The sequence below is a fragment of the Homo sapiens genome, chromosome 11 (genome assembly GCF_000001405.40).
Source record: "Homo sapiens chromosome 11, GRCh38.p14 Primary Assembly".
Lineage (NCBI taxonomy): Eukaryota > Metazoa > Chordata > Mammalia > Primates > Hominidae > Homo > Homo sapiens.
Genome location: NC_000011.10, coordinates 91,176,656 through 91,197,088, shown reverse-complemented (window position 1 = coordinate 91,197,088; position 20,433 = coordinate 91,176,656). Strand labels below are relative to the sequence as shown.

At 35.4% G+C, this 20,433-nt stretch overlaps 1 long non-coding RNA gene across 1 annotated transcript in view; it reads right to left on the bottom strand.

Annotated features, from left to right (window-relative positions):
- The window catches only part of LINC02748 (long intergenic non-protein coding RNA 2748), a 70,456-nt gene that overhangs the window by 31,358 nt on the left and 18,665 nt on the right, over window positions 1-20,433 (bottom strand). Inside the window, exon 4 of the long non-coding RNA NR_183632.1 lies at window positions 3,601-3,740. This is a non-coding gene — a long non-coding RNA (long intergenic non-protein coding RNA 2748). The remainder of the gene's footprint in view (window positions 1-3,600; window positions 3,741-20,433) is intronic.

Genomic DNA, 20,433 nt, shown 5'->3' with positions numbered 1-20,433 from the left:
AATTAAGGGTTAAACAGCAGGCAGTGAGGCTTTTTTAAAGCATCAAGACTGGTAGATTTTTTGGATAGATAAATATGGTATTTTGAGATGTACATCAATAACATGACTGATCATGAAATTCAAGTGTATAAGGAAGAATAGAAAGCCAAAGAGTGGTAAATATTCACTATAAGAAAAGTGAGAAAGGACAAGTAATCAGAGTATAAGAGGAAGTTCTCACTAGAAGAAAGAATTTGAAGAAGATACAGTATAAGAACTGGTTTTCAGAGTAGAGGATTTTAAGATTCCAAAACTTGAAAACTGAATAAGACTGCATGATGATTTGAGTTGAAGCTCTCTACTGGGTAGCTAAAATAGAGATGAAGTTTCTAAGATGGGAACTTAGAAAGAAATGTCAACAGACTTAAAAAGAATACTAAGTAGGCGATGGAATTTGTCAAGGAAAATAGTGGAAGATTAGTGTAAGCAAGGTGTGTAAACCATAGGTTATTGAAGAAGCTAGGACAAGGCTGTCAACATTGGCAGCTACTGGATTTATCTTAGGTTGGAGACAAGGTGTTATAAGATGATAGAATGAATTTCAAAACAAGGGAATACTTTTGGAGCAATGGTTATCTGAATGAGACAGTGATGAACAAGCATATTTTAATTTCTGCATTAAAATGTACCCAGCATTTCTTTTAAGCAAGTAAGACATGCACACATAAAAATGATTGTCATAAAGGAAGAAGTTTATACTGACAGACCCCTAGAAGCAGGGGTCACATAATTATATAATCACATAATTATATCAATTTAATTGAAGATATAATTTCTCATACATATAAGAACTAAAGACAAATTGGGGGTAGTACTGTGTATGCTAAGCCACAAATCAGTAGAATAGGAGTTGATAATATATCCATTAAGGCATTACCTGCTGGTAGCCATGACTGGGATTAATTGGATTTCATATGTGCCTTCTTGTTAAAGAGCTGAACTGGGGTCCACTCACCGGGCACAGTAGAACCAGATATGTACAGCAAGGTTTGCAGCTGTAGAAAGGAAGGTGTTGGTCTGCAGGGCCCAAGCAAGGAGGATCAGGCAGCAAATGCTTAAATTTAGAAGACCCCTTCTAGGGGTCACATGCTTCATGTGACCATGAAGGGTCACAGGGGAAGGAAGAGGGTCATTCAGGAGACAAAGGAGCAAAAGGGGAGAACATGGCCCAGAACCTTTATTGGGGCTTTTACAGGAAGAAATGACAAGGCAGGGTTGATATGCTAAAGTTTAAAATTAGGCTGTTTGAATAATTTCAGAGGGTTGTAAGTTATAAGGGTGGTTCTGACTTTTCTGGTATCTGGCCCAAGGGTGACTTGGGCAGGGGAAATACTGGCTTGATATGTGAAAGTGTGATAAAGGAGAGGGCTGGCGGGGTAGGGGAGGGGGGCCGGTGCGGGTTTGATTGGTTGGTTTGTAATTCATAGCAGCCCTTGCAGGGTAGTTCTTTGCTAATTCTAGGAATTAGCTAGCCCTGGCGGTGGGGGTAGTTTCTCTGGGAATCATAGCACCAAATGTTAGAGCATCAAGAATACGGAAAATGGGAAAATACAGTGAATATACCTTCTCTTCCAAGTAACTATGGAGAATAGAGGAAGTGACTAATTACATATTTCCTTTCATTAGCTAATTTAACTCTGAATGTAAATTTATTAACATTAAGATTTGATTACTTTTTCTTGAAACAAATACTAAAATGAAGAAAAAGTTCATGACTTTAATGATAAAATTACTCATTATTTTGAATACTTACCAGCTACTATGCTAAAAACTTTTCACACTTTATATACTATACAATCACTGATTACACTATATAATCATCAGGAAAACCATAATGAGATAACTACTATTAATATGTATGTTTACACCTAAGGAAACTGAGGCTTAGATAGTTTAAGTAACTTGTCCACGTTCACTGGGATATAAATCTAGGTCTGTCTAGATTCAAAAACCTAGGCTTTCTGTAGCAATATCTACCTATTTTTCATGCAATGTGTTCTTAATTCAGGAAATCACCCATTCAATTCCATATCATTCATTGGAGGCACAAGTTATGATAAAATAAAAAAAGTATAGAAGCTGGTGTCTACCTTAGTGGTTTCTGATTTGCTTAGGATTTAACTGAATTTCATTAGTTTTTCACTCTGAATAAAAGTAATCCTTACAATGATACATGGCATGCAGTCTATCTTAAGTTTTATTTTGAACATGGCAGTGGCATGTAATTTAAAAAAAAAAAATCAGCCTAACACTAAGTGTATGAGGCAATAAATCTCAAGTCTCCAGAGCAACATTTTTCTGCCACCCCCTTCCTTCAGACATAAAGAGATGTGGGACTGCTGCCAGAGAAATATAATAAAATGTAATAACAGTTATAAATGAAATACAATCAGAGGCCAACGATCTGCTTCTTTGCTAGCTGTCTTTATTCCTTCCTTGAGGATTCTATTTCTTCCTCTCCTTCACCATGATATTCCATTTCCCTTGCTTTCATTTTCCTACGTTTGCCACTATTTATAACATTTGCCCTTTCTCATTTATTCTCTTTTATGTGTTTTCTTTTTTCTTGAAGAAAAAAGATATCCTATGACTTCATTCCTATGTGTACTCAGGATCAGGGTTAGCTTTTTCTTTTGCCTTTTATTACTTTTTTTATACTGGATATTAATTTTTTCCCTCCTGTGTCTTTTTCCTGCATTTAGTTGGTATTAATACTGTGATCTTACTTCTGGGTTGGATGGAGAAGTTTCCTATGGACTATCATGTTTAGAGATTTTTTTTTCTCTTACCAAAGCCAGTCATAACTTTGCTTATGGGATCAGACATCAGAGTCCCTGAGTCTAAAGAACAGTGCCAAAGTATGTTGAAGGGGTTTACTCTTTCACTCTTTTACTTAGGTAGGTGAAGATATATTTATTCATTTACCCTTTCTTTCATCTCTGTATCCGTCCTTCCACCCTTTAACCAAGTATTTATTGAACACCTTATACTCATTTATTGACCCAGTTAATGATCATTTATAGAGCACCTATGATGTGCCAGGAGTCAGTGGCAAATGTGAGAATAGGTGGAAGCAAAAGATAAGATATGCATTGTCATGAGGTAATTTAAAAGGAATATTGAAGTCAATTGTCAGTCTTTTTTTTATCATCCTCACGTATCCAGATTTCTAAACGATGCTAGTGATAATCCTTCCCATGGAGGCTGTTCACTTCCACCACTTTCCATCTCCCCGTTGGTGTGGAACTTTCTAGTACAGAGCACAACAGATAAAAATTCCTGGCCTCTTGAAGGTTACATTCTAGAAGAAGTGGGTATATGTGTGTGTGCACATATATAACTATATTGATAATTTTATCAATTTAATTGAAGATATAATTTTTCATACATATAAGAACTAAAGACAAATTGGGGGTAGTACTGTGTATGCTAAGCCACAAATCAGTAGAATAGAAGTTGATAATATATCCATTAAGGCATTACCTGCTGGTAGCCATGACTGGGATTAATTGGATTTCATATGTGCCTTCTTATTAAAGAGCTGAACTGGGGTCCACTCACCTGGCACAGTAGAACCAGATATGTAAAGGAAGGTTTGCAGCTGTAGAAAGGAAGGTGTTGGTATGCAGTGCCCAAGCAAGGAGGATCAGGCAGCAAATGCTTAAGTCCCAAACTCGCCGATGCCTTGTAGGTAAGGGTTTCTAAAAGCAGGGGTAAATTGGGGAAAAAAAAAAAAAAAAAAAGTTACAGGCAAAACTGTAAATCAATGTATGGAGGTTACATATTGGTTTTGGCTTAAAAGGCCAGGGTATCTGAAAGCAGAGGCTTATAGGTCATAGGTAGATTCAAAGATTTTCTGATTTGCAATTGGTTAAGGAAGAGAAGCTTTGCTTAAAAATTTGGGGTCAGTAGAAAAGAACGTTAGCTCTAGCTCATGGTATGACTTTCTTCAGGCTTCTTAGGAAGAAATTTAGAACAAGGAATGGCAGCCAAAGTTCAATCCTCAGTTTCCCCTTATCTGAGGTCTATGTGACAGCAGGTCAAGTCTGTGGGTGTCTGGGTTTCTGAAAAACAACTGAGAGCTACATGTTAAGACGTTATCTTTACTTTCTTTAGAAGAACCAAGCATCCCCGTGATTTCAGCTTCCTTGGCTATTGTTTTTTTACTACTGTTACCTTCTGACTTATCAAGGTCCTTATTTGCTTCTTAAGATGAGCTAAGTTTCTGGAATTTCCTTTGAAGGAACTAAATATTTTTCTTTATTTTCATATTTGGGGGACCTGGCAGGCCCCTGAAGGGGTCTTTTGTCTCATTCTGTCAGTGTTGTTACATGCACTTGGGCATCATAATCACCTAGGGGTGTTCTTACAAATAGAGGTGTCCTAGCCCCATTCAGAGAAATTTTAATTTCATTGCTCTGTTGTATGACCCAAGTGTGTATATTTTATAAATTCCTCAGATAATTTGGGCAATCAGTGCTGAGAAACATATACTACATGACCCAAAAAGATCATGAAAAGGAAGTTAAACTAGTTGTTGTAGGTTTGTGTCTTCAAAAATATAATATTCCTGTGCCTCAGTATGTCAAAATATGACCTTATTTAAAAGTAGAATCATTATAGATATAATTAGTTAAGCTAAAATTGGATCTCCTGGTGTAGGCTGGACCCTTAATTCAATATGACTGATGTCCTTATAAGATGATGTGGAGACATACAGAGAGAATGCCAGGTGACGATGGAGACAAAGATTGCAGTGATGCAGCTGCAAGCAGTGAACACCTGCCACCATCAGAAGCTAGGAAAAGGCTAGAAAGACTTCTACCCATAGCATCAGAGAGAGCAGGGCCCTGATAACACCTGGATTTTAGAGTTCTCCGTAACTGCAAGATAATAAATTTCTGTTGTTTTACAGTACCATATTTGTGTTACTTTTTCACAGCAGCTCTAGACAATGAATATAGTAGATTTTGTCATCTGATGTTTATTGTGAATTTATGGTGATGAAGCTAGGAAATATCTTTGCTTTGAGCAATATTTGTATCTGTGTCACCTATATTTAGCCCTGTTGCAGGAGAACAATACACAGTGTTGGACCATCAGGAGAAAAATGTCAAGGAAAATGATTCTAAAGAAAACACATCTTGACCTCTCCACCCATATGAACTTTATTTCTATGCAAACACTGAAGGTTCCTCTAATGTTGCCAGCCAGTTACTAAATTGTTGGTAGCTTAAAATCAACCTTGATAACAGTATATAAGCTATGGAGATCTGCAAATGCAAAAAGTCAGGCTTTTGTTGTTGTTGTTGTTTTTCCAGAGAGTGTTCATCAGCATACTACTACAGGGCCTGGTGAGTCATATAAATGTGAGATATTAAATGTAGAAAAAAAGATGGGAAAGTTAATGGGTTTTCTTGGGCATGATAGGATAATAGGAAAGCATGAAGTGTAAACATCTTCCCTGTAAACAGAGGAAATCATAATGCTACACAGCATCTCAAAGAAAAGTGAATATGGGTTCAAGTTTGACTAAGTGGTTGAACTAGCATGGCTGCTGGCTTCCACTCCCAAGTTCAGCTTCGGAGGAATCAGTAGGGAAAAGGGAGAAAACTGACAAACCCCTGGGAGATGAGGTTTTAAATTGGTGTGTAGGAAGAAGTAGCTTTGACCTGTGACAGGAGGCAATCAAGCACTGCTGAGGTTTAAGTACAGTGAGGATTATTGGAGTTATGCTCTTATTTTTTCCAGGACATTTCCTGGAGACGAATAATGCCTGTGCCACACAGCTGGGTCCAGGTGTATTAGGAATAACTATCAAAGAATCCCTAGGGCTTACTGACTTCAGTCAATTGCTTCTCCATTTCCCATCTTTTCCCTTTCAAAACTCTAAACATTAGGAACTATATTCCAAGTATTTAATGAATACTTCTTGGGCTGAGAAGGAAAAATAATTGATAAAAGTGTTTGTTTTATAAGAAAAGGAATGATTGAATCTGGTTTTCTTAGACGGCTCTACCCATGGGCTTTTCTACTCCACATCTTCTGGATTTATCAGTCTGACAAATACTGGGGTTTTGGTCTTCCTTAACTCTCATTGCCTGAAGAAGAAAAAAAAAGCTAATATTCCTGAGGAAAATGAGTTCACAGATCAAAATAACAAGATATTTAGGTGAAAAAAAAAGAATTTCAAACTGTCACTTCAATATGAGAACATGATAAAAATCATATTAGAAATGTACAGTATCAGAAGTATTGTAACTGAGAAACTCATTAAATTTTTGCATGTAATACTTAAATCAGGAGTGGAAGTGAGAAAGACCAAGACATGTAAAACGATGCTGATTTCTATTTTATTAAAAGAGGTATACAGTTATCAATTTAAAAAAGAAATAATTAAAATAGACATTGCAAAAATAGGATATAATACAAAAATAAGACAGTAACAGTTCTAAATAAATCAATAGTTACAATAAATAAATATGGACAACCTTAACAGTTCAAAGACAAATTCTGACAGACTGAGAATAACATTCAAAATTTTGCTATATACTGATTACAAAAGACACTTAAAACATGAGGATAAACAAAAATTCAAAGAGAAGAGATAAAGACATTTAACACATGTTTTTCATTTCATTTCATATACTAGCACAAGGAAATTGCCATACTGATATTAGATAAATTACAGTTAAGATAATGATATAGGGTAGTGTCACTATCTAATGATGCAATTTCAATTTACCAAGAATTTATAGGTATTAGTAATGAAGTAATTTTGAAATATATGATGCATAAGCTGAGAGAAATACAAAAATAATTTCATAAATCCAAAATTTTATCAGTAGGTTGAACACACATCTGTCGTTTACTAACAGTTAAAAATGTAAATGAAAAGGGGTATATAAATATTTACAACAAAATCAGTAAACTTGCCCATAATCAATAAATTCATGGAATATATATATATATATATTCTACGTGTAACAATTAATGAAAGACATTTTTCACAGACACTTGCAAAGCCTTAGAAAATTTCAAAGGCAGGTATCATAAAGATTATAATCTTTGATCACAATATAAATTAGAAGTTAATGACAAAAATATAAATGTTTAAAATATCACACATTTGAATAATATAAAAACATTGCTAAATAACTCATGGTATAAAGAAGAAATTATACTAAGGAATGACTAGAACTGAATTTTAATGAAAACATTATATATCAAAGCTAGTAGGATACAACAAACCAATGCTTTACGAAACACATGTATAGCCTACTTAGTTTTTTTAGAAAATTAGAAAACTTCTAAATACATAAGCTAAATGCCCATCATAATAAAGTAGAAAAATAAAAATAAAACTTAAAGAAATTAGCAAGTGAAGTAAAAATCTAGCAAAATTCATTAAAATATAAACCAATACTACTGAGATCACCAAAGCCTAAGTAGTTGTTTGAAAAAAGAATTAAAGGGAGACAAACTTTTGTCAACAGTAATTAAGAGAAAAAGATATACATATAGAATGATAGGAATAAAAGTTGTAACACTAGAAGTAATATGCCAACACTTTTGCCAATAATTTTGAATACTTTTGATTAAATTGAAATTTGCAGAAAATATATCTTACTAGAATTAAACCAAGGAGAAAAAAACAGCATGGATAATATAAGCATTCAAGTAATTGACACAGTGCTTAAAATAATCCCACAAGCAAACACTAGGCTCAGAAGGTTTTAAAGATGAGTTCTTGTAAGTGTTCAAGCACATGATACCAAGTTTATTTAGTCTCTGACATGAAATTTTAAAGGAGGAATATTTTCCAATGTACTCTATGAGGCCTCATCAACCTGGTAAAAAATCTAGAGAAAACTATGTAAGAAAGAACAATTGCATGTCTATTTCACTTATGATGATAGATGCAAAAAAAAATTAACATATTAAGAAATCAAACACAACAATGTACAGAAAAAATATTGCACCACAACCATATTGGTGTTATTCCAGGTATGAAAAGACAATATAGTATTAGACAATCCAGAAATTCAATCCAACAAATTGATTAATTTAAAGGGAAAATAATATAATATTCTCTATACATGCAGTTTAAAAAATTAAAACCCATTTACAAGGAAGATTATTACCAAATTAATAATATAAGACCATTTTCTTAATATAATAAGGGTATAAAAAACCATGAGTAGCCGTCCTAAATTAGAGACATCTTCTTTTAAGACAAAAATGTCTATTATATTAGCTACTTATTCCATGCCCCACATCCTTTTGGCTCTCCTTTTACTCAAGTCATATTCATGGCATTCAGCTTCATTAAGGTGTAAACTGATAGCACTTTGCTTCGGTTACACCTCGCATTTTCGCTTTCGGCCTTGGATGTTTCTAAAAGCATGACTTAAGAGACAAGGGAAATCTAACTGATTTTTATGCATATGTGGTCTGGGAAGGTGAATGAATACCTCATGGACAATTCTTGACCAGGGTGAGACAGGAGCCAGTGAATAAATTCTCCCCTCTTTCTTTTCTCAAGTGAATAGTTGCGAAGTTCAGTCTACACAGTATCTTATATAACCTTGATGATGCAAATGGCCTCATTTATCATGGAGAGCAATCAAAAATCGGAAGTACCCTCTGTATTGCCTTCCTCTCCTTACATATTTTACTCTCATTAGCTTTCTGCCTATCTTCCCTGAAATTTTTTCCGCAATTAAAATCCTTGTTTTGTTCTGGATTAACCCTGGTTAAGACAGATGTTATCACTATTCTAGTCAACATTGTGTGAGCAGTCCTAGACTATGATTAAAAACATAAGTATTAGAAGGAAACAGAAGCTTATGTAGCTATAGATGTTATGACCTCTCAATTAGAAAATTTAAAAGAATCCATACGTATATTATTAAATGTAATAAGAGCATTTAGCAAGCTGGCTGGATATAAGATTAAAATATAAAAATGATACATTTTTATACAGTAACAGCATATTTTTTACACCAACTGCTGAATATTAAAGAAAAAATATTTTGTACAGTAGTAACATAATATCCAAAAACATATTTAATAAACTATAAGACTTCTGCAGGAAGAAATAAAACATTTTATGATGAGATATTAAAGAAAACAAATAGGGACATGTACCATCGTGGATAACAGGAATTAATATTTTACAGATATTAATCATCAAAAGACCAACTTTTAAATTTAATAAAATTCCAAACAAATTTTAACAATTTTTATTTTGGGAACTTGATAAATTGCTTCTTTAATTTTATGAAAAATTACTGCACTAAGTATATTCGAGGCGTTACTGAAGGCAAAGTCAGGAGGAGAGGGATATTACTTGATTATATGTTAGAATTAAGTTTGAAGCTAGAGAATTACTTAAAAAAGAAGCAGGGAAAAGGAAGGAATGCACAAAAATCCATCTTGGACTTGTGCAATGGTAAAGGCGGTGATAAGTCTGGAATTTACATTAAAGATCATATTAGAGAATATCTTAAATTCCATAACATAAGGAATTTGTTTCCCGTAAAGCAGGGGGAGAAGTTTGGAACATGTCTAATGTGCTGGAATTTTAGCACATGTTGTGTAGCATACATTGAGAAGAAAGAAGACTTGAAAGAAGCCAGGATGAGAAGTTTTTAAGTTGTCAGGAAGTGAATAAGTAATTGGTTAATGTTTTTGGATATTCTTAAGAACCTCTGACTTAACATATTTAGATATTAAGATACCTCCTTTTGGATACACTTAAATTACCTCCAATTCAATGTATTTAAATTGACTCCTATCATTTGTGTCTATTGATTTTATGATGCATAAGTACATTACTCTAATGATTAGCTAGGTATGATTTTTTTATATAAATATTCTAGCCAATAATCATAAAACATTCAATGATAATAAACCCAGGGCTGCAAATTTACAATGATTGACATAACTTGCATTTATTTGTGTGTGTTTAGTTAACATAGTTAAAATTAATTTTATTATTTTGAAACTATATATTGCATATTTATGACATGAATTTAATATATGAAATAAAAATGTTTATGAGAATTCTTTAGACTTGAATCTCTCATAGGAAAAAGCTTTGATTAGTATTTTATAATTTCCACAGTTATAATATATGTGACTTTTTCCAGAGCTTGATCTTTGGACTCTTTAACATTATTTCTGAAAAGAACAAAATTGTTCCATGCGTATGTAATAAAATATATGAATGATGAATTATTAAATAAAATTCAGGCCAGGCGCGGTGGCTCACGCCTGTAATCCCAGCACGTTGGGAGGCTGAGATGGGTGGATCACAAGGTCAGGAGACCGAGACCATCCTGGCCAACACAGTGAAACCCCGTCTCTACTAAAAATACAAAAAATAGCTGGGCGTGGTGGTGGGAGTCTGTAGTCCCAGCAACTCGGGAGGCTGAGGCAGGAGAATGGCATGAACCCAGGAGGCAGAGGTTGCAGTGAGCCGAGATTGTGCCACTGCACTCCAGCCTGGGTGACAGAGTGAGACTCCATCTCAAAAAAAAAAAATAATAATAATAATAAATAAATAAAATTCAATTAATATTTTACTAATAACCTTGAAGATCTGGTAGCACAACAAATTTCAGAATTGAAATAGCTGTTATAGATTGGTTTTCTTTTGGCTGTTATTGTTGTAATTATCAGGATATATGGGATTAAATAGACTCTCCAAACAGAATATAAACATTTTATCCTTTGCAGATATTTTTGGCCTCAGTTATAGATGACTAGTAAAAATTTACTGGTCTTTTTCTTTAGAAATTTTGAGAGATGGGTATATATATTTTCTTTTTTCTCTTATTTTGCATTGCATTGGGATGACAAATGAAATAATGATTTTACTGACTATAAATTCTTTTTTCTATTTTCAAATATCACAGATTTAAAGTGGAATTATTTATCTCAAAGGATTTACTGAATGGCCAAAATAATAAGAACAAAAATGAAGTTTCTCTAGTTAGGTTGTAGTAAACTTCACCAAGGACTCAGACAAATCTATTAAACAGCAATTATTTGACTGGGCACTCAGTGCAAAGGATGTTATAGACCAGGGGTCCCCAACCCCTGGGCTGTGGATGGGTACTGGTCCGTGGCCAGTTAGGAACCGGGCTGTACAGCAGGAGGTGTGCGGCAGGCAAAGGAGCATTACAACTGAGCTCCACCTCCTGTCAGATCAGTGGTGGCATTTGATTCTCATAGGAGCATGAACCCTATTTTGAACTCACATGTAAGGGATCTAGGTCAAGTGCTCTTTATGAGAACTAATGCCTGATGATCTGAGATAGAAGAGTTTTATCCAGAAACAACCCCCTCTGCCTTCCCTCCTTGGAAAAATTGTCTTCCATGAAACCAGTCCCTGGTGCCAAAAGGCTGGAGACCACTGCTGTAGACAATAAGATGAGAGAAGGCCTGGGCCATGCAATTCAGAGAATTTTTATCTTTACAAACTATGAAAACATTGACAATTAATAGTGCAACAGAAATAGTCAAGATGTAACTACAGCTAAGAGATATAGTTGTGATGCAGGAGAACATTATCATTGTTTCTAGTGGAAAGAGATCATCTTTCAGTGGATGTAAACCCTTTTCAGAGAAAAGGGTTTAAGAGGTATTTTCAAGTTTAGCAACTTTTAGATAAATGGAGAAAGACAGTGAATAGGTGGTTGTAAGATAGATAAATATTTATTTACGGAAAACTTATGAGAAATTAGGACAGGAATGTACGTTGAGATAATGTATCTCAGGACTTGAATGCCAAACTAAAGATTTTGGGCTGTTTTCTAGAAAATGGAGAAGAAAAAAGCAGTTAAATAACTAGATGAAAGTAGTGGTTTCGGGAGATAAATGTAATCATAGATGATTTTATATAGATGTGTGTGTGTGTGTGTGTGTGTGTGTGTGTATGTAGAGTACAAAAGTTACTACAAATTTACTACAAGAAGAAATACTGAGGGTAAAAAGAACAACTGGGAATAAAGACTGGTACAGAGACATAGTACTTTTTTACAATAATAAATGTGTATTTTTCTATACTTTGAATTACATAGTGGCCCCTCCTCCCCATTCCAATAATAGCTAAGGCATTTTTATCTTTATTGTTCAGCAAGGAGACAACACAGCAGTAAGGCAGAATACTTAGAATACTTGGGGTTTTATTTTTTAAGATAGCCATTTATAATTTATATTAGAGACAGCTTTGAGGGAAATAAACAAAAATTATGAGTTTCAAAACTCTGAACTTTTAAATGTCCTCTGCCATAAAGAAATTGCATAATACATGTATGCCATTAAGAAAAAGTAGTTTTAGAGTATAACCCATGGATCAGGTAACATCAGAATCCAGGAAGTAACATTGAGAAAGGGAACCTTCCCCACCCAAGGAAGTGGTGGGTAAACGTGTGACCCCGGGAAACCACGCTTCTCCCACGGACCTTTGCATCCCTTGGGTCATAAGATCCCCTCATGAACCCACTCCATAAGGGCTTCTAGTCTGACACACAGAGCTGTGTGCAGTCACACAGAGCAGCTGCTCAAGCACATGTAGAGACCCAGGAGCTTTAGATACTCTGGCTTTTTGGGCTTCCAAGAAAAGGTAATAGCAACTCCAGCAAAGTGGGAGGTTAGACCTCCATACATACCCCGAGGAAAGAGGCTGAATCCAGGTGGGCAAGCAGCAATGTTCTGCAGGCCCCGCTTCCATGTGACATAGGTCTGTCTCACAGGACACGACCCACTGGCTTGGAGTTGCAGCCAGCCACCAGTAGCAGTGTTGCCCCTACCTGGGACAGAGCTCAGTCACTGTTTGGGCAACTTAGCCATTCTAGCCTATAGGCTTTGGAGAGTCTAAACCGATCAGGAGTGGAAAGGATCCTCCAGCACAGCATAGCTGCTCTACCAAAATGTGGCTAGCTTGCTCTTTAAAGTAGGCCCCACATCTATTCCTCCTCACTGGGCAGGACCTCCCCACTGGGACCTCCAGCCACTTCTGCTGGTGTTCTCCTGCTGATAGATATTTGAAAAGTCCCAGGGACAGCACTCCCAGAGAGAGGGGCATGCCACCATCTTTGCTGTTTGGGAGAGTTAGCTCTTCCAGCCTCCAGGCTCTGGAGAGCCCAAGCCAACCAGGGGCAGAGCAGTACCCCAGCATAGCACAGCTGCTCTATGAAAGCATGACCACACCACTTATTTAAGCAGGTCCCTGATCCCATTTCTCCTCACTGGAAGAAACCTGCAAACCTGGGCCTCCAGCCACCCCCAAAGATGTTCTCTGGCCTACAAAGATTTAAAAACTCCCTGGGCAGAAATCCCAGAGGGAGGGGTGGGCCACCATCTCTGCTGTTTGGGCAACTTAGCAGTTCCACCCTCTGGGATTTGGAGAGTCTAAGCCAACTGGGGGTGAAAACAGTACCCCAGCACAGCACAGAAACCTGATGAAGCTATCCAAATTGTTTTTATAAGTGAGTCCCCAACCCCATTCCACATCACTGCGTGGAGCCTCCCAACCAGGGTCTCTGGCTACCTCTACTGGTGTTCTCTGACTGACAAAGGTTTTAGGCCACCCGGAGATGAAGGGGTAGGCAGAGGGTGATACCTCCAAGTGGACCCCCAGCATACCACAGCAACCCTGTGAAAAAGTAGCCAGACTGTTTAAAAAAAAAAAAAAAAAAGACCCATTCAAAGGTCAGCAACCTCAAAGATTGAAGATGGGTAAGCCCCTAAGGATAGAAAGAATCAGCTCAAGGAAACTGAAAACTCAAAAAGCCCAGAGTATCCTCTTTCCTCCATATGACCATGTCATCTCTCCAGCAAGGGTTCAGAACCAGGCTGAGGCTGAGATGGCTGAAATGACAGATGTAGAATTCAGAATATGAATAGGAAGAAAATTCACTGAGATAAAGAAGTACATTGTAATGGAATGCAAGGAAGCTAAAAATCATGATAAAACATTGCAGAAGATGGCAGACAAAAGAGACAGTATAGAGAATAATGTAGCTGACCTGATAGAACAGAAAAACATATTACAAGAACTTCACAATGCAATCACAAAAGTATTAATAGAAGAGTAGATCAAGTGGAGGAAAGAATATCAGTGCTCAAAGACTGGCTTTCTAAAGTAAGTCAGGCAGACACCGAACAAAGAAAAAAGAATGAAAACCTCTGAGAAACATGGGATTATGTAAAGAGGCTGAATCTATGACTGATTGGTGTACTTGAAAGAGATGGGGAGAATGGAAGCAACTTGGGAAACATATTCCAGGATATCATCCGTTAGAACTTTTCCAACCTAGCTAGAGAGGCCAACATTCAAATTCAGGAAATTCAGAGAACCCTAGTAAAATACTCCATGAGAAGATCATCCCCAAGACATATAATTATAATATTCTCCAAGTTCAAAATGAAAGAATGATAAAGGCAGCTAGAGATAAAGGCCAAGTCACCTACAAAGGCAAGCTCATCAGACTAACAATGGACCTCTCTGCTGAAACCCTATAACCCCAAAGAGAGTGGGTTATCAATATTCAATATTATTTTAAAAAGGAAGTTCAAACCTGAAATTTTGTATCTGGCCAAACTAAGCTTTATAAGCGAAGGAGAAATAAGATTCTTTCACACAAGCAAATGCTGAGGGAATTTGTTACCACCAGACCTGCCTTGCAAGAGTTTCTGAAGGAAGCACTAAAATGAAAAGACAAGACCATTACCAGACACAACAAAAACACAATGAAGTACACAGACAGGTGACACTGTAAAGCAACCACATAAACAAGTGTGCAAAATAATCAGCTAACATCATGATGACAGGATCAAATTTTCACATATTAATATTAACCTTAAATGTAAATGGGCTAAATACCCCCGAATAAAAGACACCGAATGGCGAGTTGGATAAAGAACTAAGACCAATTGGTATGCTGTCTTCAAGAGACCTATCTCACATGGAATGACACATATAGGCTCAAAACAAAAGGATGGAGGAAAATCTACCAAGCAAAAGAAAAACAGGAAAAAAGAAGAGTTTCCAATCCTAGTTTCTGACAAAATAGAGTTTAAACCAACAAAGACAAAGAAGGTACACCCAATACAGTAGCACAAAGATTCATAAGGCAAGTTCTTACAAATCTTCAAACAGAGTTAGACTCTCACACAATAATAATGGGAGACTTTCACTCCCCACTGACAATATTAGAAAAATCATCAAGAGAGAAAATTAACAAAGATATTTAAGACTTGAACCCAGAACTGAATCAAATGGACCTCATAGATATCTATAGAATTCTCCACCCAAAAACAAGGGAATATACATTTTTCTCATTGCTACATGGCACTTACTCTAAAGTCAAGTGCATAATCAGAAGAAAACACTCCTCAGCAAATGCAAAAGAATTCAAATCATAACAAACAGTCTCTTGGACCACAGCACATTCAAATTCAAAATCAAGAGTAAGAAATTCACTCAAAATCATACAATTACATAAAAACTAACCTGCTTCTGAGTGACTTTTGGGTGAATAATGAAATTAAGTCAGAAATAAATGCTATTGTGGAGTAAGTAAAGGGAATAGAGTTTTGACAAAGAAGTTTTAATATTGATAAATGTTTTCTGAGGTCCTGAAAAGATTATCTGAAGGCACTCTTCTCACAAAGAATATTAAATTGCTGGACCTAGCCCTAGAAAAAGAAAAGGAACTATGAGAACACACTGTCATTCTTCACCTGTTTTTTTCTCTTTTATAATTAGTATGTTATATGGTCAGTGTATAAATAATAACTAACTTCAGTGGAACAATATTGTCTAGACCAAGACCAAGGAAATGTAGTAGTTAACTGTCAACAATAAACAGAGAAGCAGAGGAAGACAATAAGTCAGCTACAGTCACAGAAAGTTAGTTGGAGAATGAAGGAGAGTGGCAGCAGCAAATTTAGGATGAGGTTTGGGTACAGTTACTAGGAAAGCAAAGGACAGATTCAATTTCTGAAATGGTAAAGTAAGAGAAAAGATACTGTATCAGTTAAACATTTCAGAAACCAGTGATTCATGAACATAGAGGTGCTGGGTTTTGACTTCGAAAGCATATGTGCTAGGGTGCTTTCAGATGCCAATAATTGAAATTCTAAATTAAACTGGTTTACAAATAAAGAAACATACTGTCAATAAACCCAGCAATCTGGTGGTCTTCAGGTATTGGTATGGTCAGGATACTGACTCCATTTCTTTGTGATTCTTTGTGCTCTGCCTGTCTATGTGTGTTTACTTGATCCTCAGAACAGTTTGCCTTCTGGTTGCAAAATGGCTAGCTAGCTACAACTGGAGCAATAGAATTCCTAGCTCACATTCAACTGATGTGTCACTCCTCCTCCAATCAAAAACTAGTCTCCCTTTAAGTTGATTGATTCAGTTTAGTCTAAGCCATTCCCCAAATCAGTAGGAGTTTCCAGAGAAATGTTTTACATTCACTAGATTAAGCCTCAATCCCTGGAAAGAGAGATTAAATCATCATAGTTAACATAAAATGAAAAAAATCAGCTTTTCCTGAGTCATAGGGATGCATAATTTAAGTTTTTGGAACAAAACTGAAGTTCTGTTAGGAAGAAAGAAAAGTTAATGTCTTCACTAGCCTTTATAGAATAGATTTTGTAAAATGCAGGATTTTCTTGATTCCAGGAGACATTTTTCTCCCCACAGGTTTTAATACCTCTAAAGTTGGGATGTAACTTACAATCAATGTCATCTTAAAGTTGAGTTGGCAATGATCTATTTTCTCTGTTTTAGAGTGACATAGGACACAGTGTTGCATATTAAAATTTTATACCATTATAGATCTTAGGTAACATGATATTTCCTTCAAAGATTAAAACTTTGCAAAAACTAGGACTTTCTTTATATAATGTGACTAGTCCTTTCATTTCTGCAAATACTTACTGAATCAATTCATTTAGGTATGTGAAGGAAATAATCTTGTCAATAACATGTAATAAACATATTTGAATTCTGTCAACTTCTTATTATGTATTCTACAATTTTAGCCCAAGCTACTGACACTTCTCTTATTGATTGTTTCAGTAGTCTCCTAACATCTTTCAGTATTCACTACTGGTCCCCTTTGAAATCTACCACATCACAGTTAGATGGGATTATTTGGAAGTTTAAATCTGCAATTCTGCTACAGGTAATTGTAGAACAGCTTGCATCAGACTTACTTGCAGATAAGTATGACAAAAACTACAAACAAAATATTAAAAATGACTTTCAAAATGGTGGACTTTCAAAACAGAAAAAAGCCAAAAGCAACCAACCACTGAAAGAAGTACCTGCACTCAATAAGATATCTGTTTATTGACATTTTAAATTGGAACACACCCTAAAACAAGTTCTTTGCTAGAACTCAAGTCAAAAGAGCAAGTGGGGTGCTAGGACAAACAGGGGTGCTAGAATTCAACTAATACCAATCAGGGACCGTGGCTCAAGTAGTCAGACAACAGAGTTTGGGGCTTCTTGAGAATCCAGAAAGAGACAGAATGCAAAAAGAAAGGAGCCACAGAGTGGGCAGCCTCATCATAAGCTATGTATATTCTCCAGCTAGATATTTGGATAACCCTCCAACTAAATACATGTATGGTCCCAAAGTGCATTCACAGAAAAACTCCCAGGAGCCTGGTAGAAAGTAACATCTAGGGAGACAGAGTATAAAGTTTGAGTCCAGCCAAGTCAACAGCTCACTAAGAGGATGGCATCAGCAAAAACAACATTCTTCAGATAAAGATGAAAGATTCCAGACATCCTAGGATGTATTACAGCATTGTCCAGGATAAAAAAATAAAATAGCAATTATTTGCAGTAACCAGAAAAGTAGCCTCTCATCAAAAGAAAATCATTCAATAGAAACAAAAACTTAGCTCATATTTTGAAAACATAATGATAAAGTTTCAGATTTAAAAAGTACAATATCTAAAATTTAAAAGATTGCCAGCTAGGCTTAACAGAAAATCTGAAATGGCAGAAGAAAGGACTAGGTAACTTGAAGACAGTTCCATAAAAATTACCAATATGAAATGCAGATACATGTATTGAAAAGATAAAGAGTCTCAGTAATTGGGAGAAAAAAACCCCTAGATATTGTATGTAGTTATACTTACTCATAGCTGTAATTGAAGTAAAAGAAAAAATATTAGGTCAGGAACAAATATTTGAAGAAATAATTTGGGAAGTTTTCTCGAATTTCATTTAAACACTCTTCCTTCCTCCCCATATACACTTAGGGGTTCAAGAATTTCAGCAAATCTTAAAGAAGATAAATACAACAAAATGCAGGATAAAAGACAACACATATATTATAGTTAAAAAGAAATACCTAGAAAGCAACCAGAGAAGCAATATACGTAGAGAGGAATAATGACACAATGAGAGCTGACTCATCAGTAACCATGTAGGCCAGAGCATGACATAAGAGCATCTTTAAAGTGCCAAAATAAATCCAAAGATCTGTCAACCTAGAATTTTCTATCCAGTACTATTATATTTCATAAACATAAGCAAGAAAAAGATAATTTCAACTGACATAAACTATGGGAATTAGTCACCAGCAGATCTGCACTACAAAGAAAGCATTACAATATTCCTTAGAATGAAAAGATAGATCTACAGAAAGGAGTTAAATGGTAAGTCTTTGGACAAATATAAAAGAATATATTAAGTTTCAAATAATTTTTATTTATAGACAAAATTTTTATTTATAGAAAAAATTATTTATAGACAAAATAACCAAATAGTCATCATCATCCAATACCCAGAGAGCCCACCACCATGTGTCTCCTAACATAAAACACCAAGAAGGAAACATCAATTTTGTCAAATTTGATTGCCTAAATCTAAGCATGAGAAAACATGGAGCAAACCCAAATTGAAGGACATTCTAAAAAATAACTGGTCTATGCTTTTCAAAAATATCATTGGCAAAAAAGGAAAGAAATGCTGAGGAATTGTTCCAAATTAAAATATAATATAAAGATATGGCTAGTAAGAGCAATGTCTGCTCCTGGGTTGGATAATAATCAAAAATAACATTTCTGAAAAAATATTACAACAGTTTGAATACAAACTGTTTATTAGTAATAATAATGTATGACTGCTTAATTTTCTCATAGTGATTTCTAAAAGGTATAGATGTGTTCAAGTCTCTTCCCTATTTGACGTTGTATCAAGGCTTACTGTTGGTTTCAAAGAAATCCAAAGTTAACATTAACAAGATCTAGATGGTTCCAAGCATTCTGGCTTCTGATTACCTAGCATCTTTCATCTCAGCTCCTTGTATGCTAACTTTGTTCAAAGCACACAAACATACATTTTGTGCACTCTGTATCTCTCTTTATTATCTCTCTTTTATTTTTCATGATTTTGGTATTCCACCTGTTCTTTCTTATATGTATTTCAACAGTTCTTTCTTTCAACTGTTCTTGCTTATATAGGGTTTTTGCTCCTATCTGGTTCTGTTAAAAAATGTTACTACCTAAGCCCTACTCACTCTTCAGAACTCTCCTTAAAAATTTCTTCCATAGAAAAATATTTTTTTCACATGCCTCATAATCTTTCTTTTATACACCACCCTAACATTATGTATATCTTCTTTATAAAATGTAGGATAATTGTAAGCCAGTAATCTACTATGTTATTAGTTATATATTTATCAGTTCTTCCAGGTAGAATGTAAGCTTAATAAGGATAAGGAATGGATCATTACTCTTTAGTACTATAGCTCCAGCAATCAGCTCAGTGCTTGGCAAATAGACACCGCTGAATACATTTTGTTGAATGAATAAACAAGAAAGAGTGTGAGTATGGAGAGGAACAGTTATAGGTAAGTGTTGTTTGTGTAGAGAAAAAGACTGAAGAGACTCTTAAGTGTCTACTGCACTCCTAATTTCCTTTTGAAGAAAGTGGCTGCAGTTGTTGACACCTAAGAAAAGTTGTTCTCATTTTGCATCATATAACTATGGTTCACTGGCCACAGCTTATTGGCCTATGGATCACTCTAACCAACGGCATCCATCTAGAGGTTAGAAAAGAAATGAAAGTTTCTAATCTTTGAGATGACTCCAAATGTGAGTGCTGTACATTAGTTCTGTACTAGGTTTTGTATTGAATGGTGATTGATTGTGGTAATAAGTTTCTCACTTGGGTTAGGAGTTACAATTAAGAGACAAAGATATAAAGATTATTTAAAAAGAATGGTCAGCATTGTAGAAGATATCAAACATAAAAGATAAAATTAAAATAGATTGAATAGCAGAATCCTAAGAATGCCAGTCCTGAGAATGAAAATCTCTAGAATAAAAGAAAGTAGATAAATTTTATTA